The sequence below is a fragment of the Homo sapiens genome, chromosome 19 (assembly GCF_000001405.40).
Source record: "Homo sapiens chromosome 19, GRCh38.p14 Primary Assembly".
Lineage (NCBI taxonomy): Eukaryota > Metazoa > Chordata > Mammalia > Primates > Hominidae > Homo > Homo sapiens.
In genome coordinates, this window is record NC_000019.10 from 49417332 (window position 1) to 49429134 (window position 11803).

An 11803-nucleotide genomic window follows, 5' to 3' on the forward strand; every position below is an offset into this window, starting at 1 on the left:
AGACCCTGCCCTAAATGCTCTCCCACCTCCCCACCAGAGTCACTCGACATCCACTGATCCCAGCTCCTGTCCTGGGCCTGCTGCTGCTGCTGCTGCTCTCTGTCCTGCTGCTTGGCCCGTCCCCACCTCCCACCTGGCCCCACCTCCAGCTCTGCTACCTCCAGCCCCCTCCAGTGTGAGAGGCTCTACTTGCCCCTCAGAGCAGTGTCTAGCTCAATAAATCCCCTGGCCCTCTCTCCACTGGGATCCCCATTGTTAGTCCACTGTTGCGCAGGCTTACCCTAGATAGAGTACAGGGGATCCACATCCCTGTATTTTTATGTGAAGTCTCCTAGTTTTTTAATGCTGACATTTCTTAACAATAGCAAAACTCCCCCAGTAATGGATTAAGCACTAAGGATTATTCCCTCACAAAACAAGCCTGGCGAGGGCAGCTGTGGGCACACAGCTAAGTCTCGGTTGCCTTGGGGTCAGGGCCTCAGTGATTCTCCTGTCCCCTCCCTCATGCTCAGGAGTTGGCAGTTGTAGCTTCCTACATCACATCTGCGGGAAACGGAAATTTCTTCCTTCCTTTTTATAAAGAGAGGCAGTAGCCTCAGTGTGCAGTGGGTAGATTCAAATCATATTCATAATAAAAGAGAAGCAGTTGCCTGCCCAGAGCCACCAGCAGACTTGTGTTTGTTTCACTAGCCAGACTGTTTGGTGTGACCACCCTTAACTGTAAGGGAGGCTGGGAGACCTGGGAGGTCAAGTACCTCTGCGGGGACTGGGTACCTTGAAAGTGCCTTGCCACACACCTCATTCACACTGAAAAACACTGCAGGCCATGGACCTAACAAACACTCTGGGAGTCACCTACACACCACCACCAGTGTGCAGCTGCTGAGTGGCCTTGGCATGCATGGCCAAGCTGCTTCGAAGGGCTCCAGGATACCTCTTCTCCTTGATTTCTTTCTCCTTCCTACCTTCTCTACAGCTCTGCCTTGCCCTCCCCCGATAGGATCCTGACTCTGTCCTGCCACCCCTCCACGGGTAGCAGCCTAGGTTGACCCAGTCCCAACTGCATCCTAAGTCAATAAAGAACAATCTTCTTGGGCCGGGCACAGAATCACTTGAACCCGGGAGGCGGAGGTTGCAGTGAGTGGAGATTGTGCCACTGCACTCCAGCCTGGGAGACAGAGTGAGACTGTGTCTTAAAAAAAAAAACAAAAAACAAAAAAAAAATTAAAAAAACACATGCGAGACCCCAACCCCTCCCTCTTATTCACATGGACCATCTGCATGGTGCAGCTCTGAGGCATCATTATGCTGTAAGCCCCTTCCCAGCTGGAGTAAAGCTGAGGACACCAAAGGGAAGCAGATGGAGTCTGAGAAGCCTACCCTACTCCCGAAAAGAATACATGATTGGGCACCCACTCTGTGTGGCATGTGGCCCATGGTATTATGCAGGGAATGCCCCAAGCTTTGCCTGCCTCATAGCACCGCCAGCAAGATCCTTACACCATGGCTCCAACGCTCCCTGTAAACAACAAGAGTGGACACCCAGGATGGCTGGCCCCAGGGTGGGAGGGCGCTGAGCTAGGCACTTTGAGATATGTATTTAATCTTCACCTCAACACTAGGAAGTAGATGGTGCTATTATTGCTTTACACATGAAGACACTGAAGCACAGAGAAGTTAAATGACTTGACCTAGATGTCACAGCTAAAAATTATGAGAGTTGGGATCCAAACTCAGTCTGAGTCCAGTTCAGCAAATGAACTCACACGGTGGCTGTCTGCTGTTTGTAGCAGCCTATGAGTTGAACATCCTTCCTTGCCTGGGAAAATCCCAAGATAGGAAGGAGACAGGGCCCCACCTTCAACCAGGAGAGTCAAAGGAGGGTCCCCTTCCCCAGCTCCCAGGGGGTTGGGCTGCTATGACAGGCAGTGTGTGGGGCCCATGCCCATCCCTGTGGCCAAGGAGAAGGATCACGAGATTGGCAGCCCCACCAGACCCTCCAGTCACAGCTGTCGAAGGCAGCAGCAACTCTACAGAAAAAGGAGGACAGGGATGAGGACCAGGCACACACCAGAGTTGTCCTCTAGAGTGCAAATGGTAAACAGGAAAAGCACCAGGGTGCCATTTATTCATTCAACAAATATGTGTTCATCATCTCTTTGCAACAGCTAGACCTTAGAAGATGAAGCTGTAGAGGAAAGCAGGACCTCCAACATCAAGCTGAGGAGCTTAGATTTTCTCCTGAGAATGATGGGGCTTTGGGAGGTTTTATTGCTTGTTTGTCTTTGGTTTTTTACATTTTAATTGAGGCGCAGCTTACATACAGATAGGCAGACAAATCTTAAGTATCAGCTGGATAAACTTTTGTGTACGTATATACCCATGAAAATCACAGCCCAGGTCAAGAGAGTAGACAGTTTCAGCACCCCAGATGCTTCCTTGGAGAGTTTTGAGCAAGGGAGGGACAGAATCGGACCTATTTAAAGACAGATGGAGGTAGCTGCAGGTCCTGTGAGAGTCCAGAAAAGGCAACTGATTCGGCTTGGAGGTTACAGGATTCTTTCCAGACAAGTGACATTTGTGTTTAGTCTTGAAAGATGGGTAAGGTTTGGGTTACAGTCAGCAGGGGCCCAGGGAGGGTGTCATAGAGGTGGGAAAGAGACCAGTGTGTCTGGAGAGCCATAGGCGGCATCCTGTTGCTGGATTTAAAAAAAAAATTTTTTTTTAAAGATTTGGAGCCTGGGAGGGATTGAAGGCTACAGAGTGGTGGGAAATAAGAGAGGTAGGCAAGAGCCCATGAAGGGATTTGAACACCAGCTTGAACTTTATTCCCTAGTGCCGGTAAAAGGGTTGTGAGCAAGGGAAGGCAGAACTCTGGGTAGGAAGAAGAGCATTCAGGGCCTGTGGAGGAGATGAATGAATGAAGGGGATGAGAATGGAGGCCAGCAGGTGGGGAGGAGTCTGGGGCTGTGGTCCAGGTTGGAGAGAATGAGGCCTGAGGCAGGGCATGTGGGTGGAGAGGAGGGAAGAGCAGAGCCAGGGCAGGGTGGGAGGGACCGGGCTGGAGACTGACAAGCTGTGAAGGATGGCGAAAGGGGCAGGACAAGGACAACCCCTGGGACCTGGCCCAGTGACTAGTAGACAGTGGAGCCATTCCCAAGATAGGGAACCCATGATAAGGAGTGAGTTCAGAGAAAGACTCAGTTCATTTAGGGGCTGGAGTCCTGAGCCCTGAGCTCCCAGGCTGGAGAAGGGGGTCTGGGTGTTGTCAGCTGTGGGTGGTGGCAGAAGCTGTGGGGACTGCTGAATTTGCTTGAGAGTAGAGTGGGGAGGGAGGAGGCTCCAGACACCATTTTGAGCAAAACCTCAAATGTTCTGATACGGATCGGGAAGAAAATAGAGTGTGGGAAGAGACCAGGCCAGTACCCAGCTACCAGGCCCGCGGGGAAACAGGAGGAGGCTCTTCATAGGGTCTTTGTGAGGTTAAAAGAGTTAATGCAAGCACAGCACTTAGAAGAGTGCCTGCTATATAGCAACTGCTCATTCACATTTTCATTCCATTTCTCCATGAGAGTGGCGGAAAAGTCTAGACTTTTGAAATTGCACATACCCGGATTCCAGTTATTCTTTTGTCGCTTAGTAGCTCTAACAACTTAGGAAAATTCCTCCTGACTTTCAGTCTTATTTGTAAAATTAGGCCAACTCCAGATAGTTTTGAGGAATGCAGTCTTTCCTTTGTTATTCGGAAGGACAGAGGAAACAGTCCCGCCCCCACAGTCCAAGGGCCAATTAGGGCTCGGTCCGCCTCCCGAAAATGCAAATTTTGGGACGCCTTGCCAAACACGCGCGGCGGCCCCGCTTCCCGCGCAGCAGACGCGGCCGGCTCCACTCTCTTCTTTAAACCAATGAGAGCGCGGTCCGCACGAACGGCGCCCCAGGCGCGCTGATCTAGCCCTCTGCGGACCACCGGGTTGCCATGGTTACCACGAGGGGCGGAGCTGAAGGGCAGGCTGGACCTCCGGGGAGAGAGACAGATTTCGATTGGCTCTTTTCTCGCTTCACCTGCAGCCCAGGTATCTTCCCGCCCTTTCCCTGTCCTTTTTGGAGCCTGACGCCTGCTCCTTTCTCTTCTCCTGCCCCAGCCTGGCGCCCCGAAGGTCTCTAGAGAAGGAGACCCGAAGTCAGAAAACCCTGAAAAAAATTGCTGGACGCTGCTGTGAGAAGAGGAAACCCTTTTCAAATAAAAGCGTTTTGCTACGTAACGGGCGCTGTACTGAAGTCTTATGAAGTATATCTTATTGGATCCTCGTAACAGATGAAGAAAAGGAGACACAGAGACTGACGTCAAGAAGGCTTTCTCAGTACTACGCAGCTAGATTTGGAGGACCCTGGGTTTGGATGCTAGGGCTGCCTCACACCAGAGCCCGCGATCTTTCCACTGTGCCTGGGGAGAAGTCTGGAAGTGATGGGAGGGAGGAACAGCGAAATTCAAAGATGAGAGCTGATGGAGAGACAGATAGAAACCTAACGGAGGAAAGAAAAGGAAGATATGAAGGAGTCAGGCAGAGGAAAAAGGAAAAAAGAAAGTGATGGAGAAGGGAAGGAAGAGTTTCAGAGGCAGAAGGAGAATAGAGAGAGGAGGCAGAGATTCCCAGAAGACCAGAAAGCCAAAAGGGTGAAAGGGGAGATAACCACAAGGACCCAGGGAGACGGGGACACATACCCAGAGAGGAAAGAGACCCAGAGAAAGGGACAGAGACGGAGGAGGACAGAGACCTTGGAGATTACAGAGAACCAGAGAGAAGGGGACAGAGATGGGGGTAGGGAGGGACAGGGGCCCAGAATGAAAGGAGGGGGCGGGGGGGTGGGGGCGATAGGGAAGCAGAGATCCAGAAATAGGAAAGAAGCCAGCTTCCTGGACAAAGACAGGCAGAGAGAAACGGAATTGAGGAAAGAAAATAGAGTGGGGACTGAGGAGAGAGATGCCAGAGTGGCCGACACAGAGTCCTGTCTCTTTTCTACCCCCCATTTCAAGCCCCGCGCCCCCAACCCAACGCACACGCAGGTCGCGCAGGAACTAGGCGCAGTCCGGAGCGCAGGGCATGGTCTTTATTAAGATGGGGACGGGCAGCGCGCTCAGGGCGCATCCAACACCAGCAGCTTGTGCATGTACGAGTTCAGCCAGTGGCGGCGCTCGAGGGCGGCCAGCAACCGCGCGCGCTCCCGGAAGGCCGCGTCGTCCGCCAGCGCCAGGCTCCTCCGCGGCCTGGGGGTGGCGGGATCCGCCCAGGCCCGTCCTGGGGGGCGGAGGCTGTGGAGAGACGCGGTGACCGCGCGTCCAGACTCGCTCTTGCCGCCGCCTGTCCTCCCCGCGGTCTAACTCGAAGCCCCGTTACTGCCCAGTCCGTGGAGTGGCTCGGTCCGGCTCCCCCTGTCTCTCTCGTTCTCTGTGTGGGTCTCTGTCTCTCTGCTCACCAGGTTCGAAACTCCCCAGGTACTGAGACCGAGTCTGATGCACTTGTCCGCCCACAGCGCTCAGCGCATGGCCAGGCGCACACCAAGAACCCAATAAACGTTGCTCAAAGAATGAATCCGTTTCTGCAACGACTCCTTTCGAGCCTCTCCACGCCTTTCTCGGGATCTATCTTTCTGTGTCTCTTTCCCTTGCTGATTTTCTGTCCATTTCCCGCACCACCACTACCACCAAACCCTCCTCCCGCCTTCCCCCACCCCTAGTCTCTGTCTTCTCGCTGGGTCTCGGTCGCCCTCTCTTTGGGCTTCTGTTCCGCTTTCTGGATCTTCCGTCCCCTTTCTCTTTGGTTCTCTTCCCACTTCTCCAAGTTCCCACCCCTCCCTGGGAGTTCTGGGACTGGCACCTACCTGAGGACCCCGACCGGGGGCAGGGCGACTCCCGAGGCAGTGCGGACGCCCCAGGGCACCACCAGCAGCAGCAGCAGCAGCAGCAGCAGCCGAACCCGAGGGCTCCTGGACACCTGGCGGGTCTCCATCACCTGTGGAGAACCAGAAAGGGGCTCAGTAGGGCTGCATCCCGGCCCAGAACCCCGGGCCCCACCATGCATCCACCCCCAGCTTCCCGCACAGTCCCCTACCGTGCAGTGGGCTGGGGCAGCGATGGTGGCAGCCCCCTTATATCGCCTCCGCAGCCCCCGCACCGGGCAGTGACGCAGGCCGGGGGGCCGGGGACGCGGGGTCACCCCCTCCCCAGGCTCATTAGGAGCCGCCAGCGGTAATGAGGAGCCGGGGGTGGGGGACCTGCCGCTGCCTTGGCCGCCACCAACTAATTGGGACCAGAAGCTGGACCTGAGACGAGGGAGGGGGAGAGACAGACAGACAGAGAGGTGGACACAGGGGGTGTGTCAGAGGGCTAAAAATAGAGACTGGCGGAAGGACCGTCAGAGGAACAGAGACACAAAGAGAAGGACAAAGACAGAGTGGCCGAGGAAGAAATAGAGAGAAAGAATGGGAACGACAGAAAAAGAAAGGAAAAGGAAGAAAACAAGAAAAGAGAGCGAAGGAGATGGAAACGAACAGTCAGATGGAGATGGAGGAGGGAAAGAAAAGGCTCTCAGAAAGACAGACGGAAATGGAAGGACGTCCTGGTCTGGAAGGAGCTGCCCAGAGATAAATACAGCAGCGAGAGGCCCAGAAAGATCGAGGGTGAGGTAGGGAGGGGGGAAAGGCAAGAAATGGCAAAGGGTACGTGTGGCAGGGGTGTGAGGACAGGAAAAGTGACAGACCACATCAGAAAAACCTCAGAGAGTGAGAAGAGGGGAAAACAGACAGGGCTCCTGAGCTGCCCTAAGGATGTGTCTAAGCCCTTATCTGGGAGGAGTTTGGGGGTGCTGTGAAGATTAAAGCCCAGTCCTCCTCACACTGACTCTTTTTGTGTGTGTGTGTTTGTCTGTTTGAGATGGAGTCTTGCTCTTGTTGCCCAGGCTGGAGTGCAATGGCACTATCTCGGCTCACTGCAACCTCCACCTCCCAGGTTCAAGCCATTGTCCTGCCTCAGCCTCCCGAGTAGCTGGGATTACAGGTGCCCACCATCACGCCCAGCTAATTTTTGTATTTTTAGTAGAGATAGGGTTTCGCCAAACTGTTGGCCAGGCTGGTCTTGAACTCCTGACCTTGTGATCTGCCCTCCTTGGCCTCCCAGAGTGTTGGGATTACAGGCGTGAGCCAGCACACCCAGTCCACACTGACTCTTAAGAGGGGCCTCAGCCGGGTGCTGTGGCTCATGCCTGTAATCCCAGCACTTTGGAAGGCCGTGGTGGGTGGATCACTTGAGGTCAGGAGTTCGAGACCAGACTGGCCAACATGGCGAAACTCCTTCTCTACAAAAATACATAAATTAGGTGTGGTGTAATCCCAGCTACTTGGGAGGCTGAGGCAGGAAAATCGCTTGAACCTGGGAGAGGGAGGTTGCAGTGAGCTGAGATCGCACCACTGCACTCCAGCCTGGGCAACAGAGTGAGACTCTGTCTCAAAAAAAAAAAAAAATTTAAAAAGAGGGGCCTTTATACACAGTGAGGAGAAGATGGGCAAAACTTGGAAGTCCTACAGAGCAGTAGAAACTTGGGATGTGGGAACTTGGGCTCCTAGTTTCCTAGGAAGGTGGTGGCAGAAGCTTGGACTCCTGAGTCTAAGAGTGGATGGGACAGGGACCCAGATTCCTATGTTCTGGGGAAGGAGGAGGCTGGGGACTTGGATTCCTGAATCTGAGGAAGGAAGGAGCTAGAGGACTGGAGTTCTGAGTCTGGGGGGAGGGAGCTGGGGGATACAACTTAGGGGACTTGAAATAGGAAGGTACCAGGGAACTAGACCCCTGGGTTTTCAGGTAGGAGAGGGTAGAGGGCCAGGACCACTGGTTTCAAAAAAATAATTTGGGCCACATCTCCACTAGATCAATCCAGTTTCTAACTCCCTTCCCCACCCCAGAGAAAATGTCCTTTACTTCTGTCCCTTTAAGAGTCTAAGTCTGTCGCTAGGCTCCCAGGATCCCCTGGGAGGGGGTGAGGTGCGTCACCTGTGTGCCCCTGAGACCCTACCTCCCACCGCCCTGCCCAGATCTGTTCTGCAACATTCACCGTTCTCTGCATCCAGCTCTGCTTATCTGCTGTTACCTTGGACACCAGAGCAGGTAAGAGACCCCAGGACCTCAAGTAAGCCTGTCCCATCGATGTGTCGGCCGCCTCCACCTCCACCTGAACACAGACCTATGCTTCTCTGCCCAGACTGGCCCCGGAGATGCCGAAATCCTAGCTCCATCTTCAATAACAGACTTGAGAGTCCTGCCCCAAAGCTCTCTTCTTCAAGTCCCTACCCCTCTACTCTGCAGAGCCCAGACCCCAGACCCTATTTCTGGAGGACTCAGAGCTCCCAATTCCTTTCTAACTCAGGAACCAAGAGCTCAAGGCCTCTTATCTCCTTTCACCCCTGCAATCCAGCCCCCAAACCTTGCTCCCTCAAAATTCTAGGCACCTGAACTTCCAGCCTTCTCCTCTCTAAAGAACCAGGAGCCAGGAACCTCAGCCCCCTCACCCTGCAAGACGCAGGAGTCTGAACCCCCAGCAACCTTCTTAACCCAGAGCCCAAATGTCTCCCTCCTCCCTCAAATCCATGAGTCCAGCCCTCAGCCGTTAGGAGCCTCCTGTAGTGTAAACAACTGTTGAGTCAAGGTGTCCCGGGGGACCTCGGAGAGGAAGGAGATCCCACGTCCCCTCGAAGCCCTGACACTCCCTAAAGTCGAAGTCGAGGAGATCTGAGGCCTGGAGAAGTGTCGTTCTTTCCCAATTTTTCTAGGACCCCTCGCTGAAACAGATAAGGAAATTAACTACGACTCCCAAGTAGCCCCGCGCCTCAGTCTCTCTTGGCTACCTGGGCCATCGCCCCACAAGCCTCCAAGGGACTTGCGATTGGGTTCTCTTCCCATCCCTGGCGCCAAGCTGGGCCCCGGACAGACGTGGTCCACCTGTGTTCCAGTGGGCGTGGCCTCCGGGAGTGGGCGGGGCTCCTGGGAGCCTTCGGCCTTAACCCCTTCCTTCCCGCTCTCCCCCGCAGCTATAGGTATCTGCCAGAGCTATGAAATCATTCAGCCGGATCCTCTTCCTCGTCTTCCTCCTCGCCGGCCTGAGGTCCAAGGCCGCTCCCTCAGCCCCTCTGCCTTTGGGCTGTGGCTTTCCGGACATGGCCCACCCCTCTGAGACTTCCCCTCTGAAGGGTGCTTCTGAAAATTCCAAACGAGATCGCCTTAACCCAGAATTTCCTGGGACTCCTTACCCTGAGCCTTCCAAGCTACCTCATACGGTTTCCCTGGAAACCTTCCCACTTGACTTCACTGAGCCCCTCAACCCTGACCTCCGAGAAACCCCGCACCCAGAGTCTCCTGAGACCCCCAAAGCTGACTCACTCACAACCTCAATATCAGAATCCCTGGACATGCCCAAAACTAACCTCTCCAAAATGGCACACCCAGAGTCTTCTGAGACCCCCACACCTGGCCCAACTGAAATGCCACACCCAGGATCCCCTGAGACCCCCAAACCTAACTTCTCCAAAACTTCACGCCCAGAATTTCCTGAGACCCCAAACACTGACCTTATGCAAACTACACCCCAAGAATCCCCAGAGATTCTGCAGCTTAATGCCACTGAAGTCTCACAGGCAGAACTCCCCGAGACCTCAAACACTAACCCTACCAAGACCCCTGACCCCAAATCCCCAGAAAAGCATGACCTCAACTCCACTGAGACCCCAAACTCTGAATTTCTCCAAGCTCTCCATCCTGACCCTTCTAAAACCCCCCACCCAGAATCCCATGTGACCCACAATCCCAGCCCCACCGAAATTTCCCAAACAGAATTCCCCACAACCTACTACCAAAATGCAACAGATGTACCCAGGACCTCCGACCCTCAAATCTCCACTAGTCTCTACCCAGAAACACCTGTGCCCTTCAAGGATGACGCCACTGCTCTAAATGAGCTGTCCCTGAATCCCAAACCAGGAACACCTGCAGCCATCCAGCCCGACTCCCCAAAATTGCCCACTTCAGATTCTCCAGGAATGGTTGAGCTGAAGGCCCCCCAGAACTCTGGCCCTAAGGAGTCCAACGTCCCTCCTCCCTCAGCCCGGATTGCAGGTCCCCCTGCTCTTCCAGGGCGCCCCAGTCAGTTGGCCCCTGCCACTCTGCGGGCACCCCAGAGGCACAGCCGAGGTGAGGGAGTCAACACCATCATCGTGGTGGAGCGAGTGAAGGAGACCGGTGAGGGGCAGGAGCCGGACTCCTGAGTCTGAGGGAGGGGCTGGGGGCCTGGACTCCTGGGTCCGAGGGAGGAGGGGCTGGGGGCCTGGACTCCTGGGTGCGAGGGAGGAGGGGCTGGGGGCCTGGACTCCTGGGTCCGAGGGAGGAGGGGCTGGGGGCCTGGACTCCTGGGTGCGAGGGAGGACCGGCTGGGGTCTGGACTCCTGGGTCTGAGGGAGAAGGGTTTGGGAACAGGAATTCCTGGATCTGAGGGAGGAGGGGCTAGGAGCTTGGACCCCTGGGTCTGAGAGAGGAGGGGGTTAGGAGCTTAGATTGCTGGTATCCCCCTTCAGGCGTGACTCTGGTGGGGCGACCACGTGGCGCAGCAGGCGGGGCCCTCTGCCTGTTCTTCGCGGGGACCGCGCTGCTGATCGGCATCTTTGTGCTGCTGTGGTGTCTTTACCGCCGGGCAGCTAGACAGCGGCCCTTCGCACATCACCGGCTTCCGGACGACGGAGATGAACCGGGTGAGCGCCCTGCCCCTTGAATGCCTGCACTTTTCCATAACCTGGTCTCTCCCGGCACTACAGGGCGCCAGCCAAAAAAGCACAGGTCCCCCACCCAAGGTCAATGAAAGCCCTGGCTCTTCCATGGCAACGTCCAGCCCCCTAAATGTCTGCAATTTCACCCAAGAGTCCAGTGCCGCTCCCAATGCGGTTGGAAACGGCTTCAGGCCCAGAGCCGGCCGTCCCCGCCAGCCCCGCCCCTGCCCCTCCAGGTACGCGGCCCGGAGCCCTGTACTTCCCGCCCTCCACTGCAGGCCCCGCCGCTGCTGATCGGACGCCACGCCTCCTGGTTTCTGCAGCGGCCCCCACCCTTTTTATTGAAAACTCAGTTCAAATGCAGAATCGGAATCCTCTCTCCGGCCTCCTGATCGGTCGGCCGCACAAAAGCGGCCCTGGAGATGATCTGGAAGGGGGCCTGGAGGGTCAGCCCAGAGATGACCACGCCCCTTTGCACCCACAGTTCTGCATTTGGACGCCCCGAAAGACCCCTACGACCTCTACTTTTATGCTCCGGATACCTGGGTCCCTTCCCACATCGCCACCAAGCAGCCCCCGCCCACACCTCCTCTGCCACCAAAGCTGCCCCCGCCGCCCCGCGGGGGTCGCCCGCAGCGTCTGGAGGCCCTGTCCCCCGCCACGCTCCCCAACAACTTCGTGTGAGCCCCACCGAGTTCTGCCGGACCTGCACATCCCCACAGTGAAGGAAAACCCTGCGCTTCTGGTATGCTTAGCTAGAGTAGTGCCCCGGATAAAGGGTCTAATATACAGAGATGCTTGCGCTGTGATCAGAGAACAAGGTCTGAGACCGAATAAATATCATGTTCCCATGGCTAGACCCCTCCTCTGGCCTGAGCCCTGGGGTGGGAGGGGCTGGAGTCTGAGACCGCTGAAACTTGGGGAGGAGAGGCTGGGGTCTGGACCCCTGGGTCTGAGGGAGGAGGGGCTGGGGCCTGGACTCCTGGTCTGAGGGAGGAGG

The 11803-nt window shown here is 55.6% G+C and overlaps 3 protein-coding genes across 12 annotated transcripts in view, besides 1 other annotated feature; 2 read left to right on the top strand and 1 right to left on the bottom strand.

Annotated features, from left to right (window-relative positions):
* KASH5 (KASH domain containing 5) overlaps positions 1 to 659 on the top strand; it is a 29742-nt gene extending 29083 nt beyond the window's left edge. For all 9 annotated transcript variants that reach the window (XM_011526489.4, XM_011526495.3, XM_011526494.3 and 6 more), the window contains one exon: positions 38 to 659. In XM_011526489.4, the coding sequence (XP_011524791.1) occupies positions 38 to 179 (142 nt within the window). In that variant the 3' untranslated portion in view covers positions 180 to 659. The remainder of the gene's footprint in view (positions 1 to 37) is intronic.
* Positions 660 to 5087: 4428 nt separating this feature from the next.
* PTH2 (parathyroid hormone 2) lies at positions 5088 to 6110 on the bottom strand. The gene is made up of 2 exons (NM_178449.4): positions 5881 to 6110; positions 5088 to 5311 (listed from the first exon to the last, which is right to left on the bottom strand). Exons 1-2 carry the CDS (start codon positions 6006 to 6008, stop codon positions 5137 to 5139), a joined length of 303 nt encoding a protein of 100 aa, NP_848544.1. The 5' UTR covers positions 6009 to 6110; the 3' UTR covers positions 5088 to 5136.
* Positions 6226 to 6429: a silencer, noted in NCBI's record as "fragment chr19:49926814-49927017 (GRCh37/hg19 assembly coordinates)". NCBI's record gives its function as "represses an EF-1alpha promoter that drives an FKBP-Casp9 reporter gene in an ReSE screen in HepG2 liver carcinoma cells {active_cell/tissue: HepG2}" and the evidence as "EXISTENCE:reporter gene assay evidence [ECO:0000049][PMID:32094911]".
* GFY (golgi associated olfactory signaling regulator) lies at positions 6416 to 11656 on the top strand. 2 transcript variants are annotated; one of them, NM_001385187.1, is made up of 5 exons: positions 6416 to 6683; positions 8086 to 8158; positions 9079 to 10282; positions 10615 to 10788; positions 11288 to 11656. In NM_001385187.1, exons 3-5 carry the CDS (start codon positions 9100 to 9102, stop codon positions 11485 to 11487), a joined length of 1557 nt encoding a protein of 518 aa, NP_001372116.1. In that variant the 5' UTR covers positions 6416 to 6683; positions 8086 to 8158; positions 9079 to 9099; the 3' UTR covers positions 11488 to 11656. The 2 variants fall into 2 exon arrangements, with proteins under 2 accessions (NP_001372116.1, NP_001182185.1); NM_001195256.2 differs by lacking the exon at positions 6416 to 6683 and having other exon boundaries at positions 8057 to 8158.
* Positions 11657 to 11803: the final 147 nt, after the last annotated feature.

Excerpts from the sequence above, each read along its gene's own strand:
- GFY (NM_001385187.1), top strand. The coding sequence starts at position 9,100 with ATGAAATCATTCAGCCGGATCCTCTTCCTCGTCTTCCTCCTCGCCGGC. Across the intron at positions 10,283-10,614 it reads GGAGCGAGTGAAGGAGACCG|GCGTGACTCTGGTGGGGCGA; the intron begins GTGAGGGGCAGG and ends ATCCCCCTTCAG. Across the intron at positions 10,789-11,287 it reads GGACGACGGAGATGAACCGG|TTCTGCATTTGGACGCCCCG; the intron begins GTGAGCGCCCTG and ends TTGCACCCACAG.
- PTH2 (NM_178449.4), bottom strand. The coding sequence starts at position 6,008 with ATGGAGACCCGCCAGGTGTCCAGGAGCCCTCGGGTTCGGCTGCTGCTG. Across the intron at positions 5,312-5,880 it reads CCCCCGGTCGGGGTCCTCAG|CCTCCGCCCCCCAGGACGGG; the intron begins GTAGGTGCCAGT and ends GTCTCTCCACAG.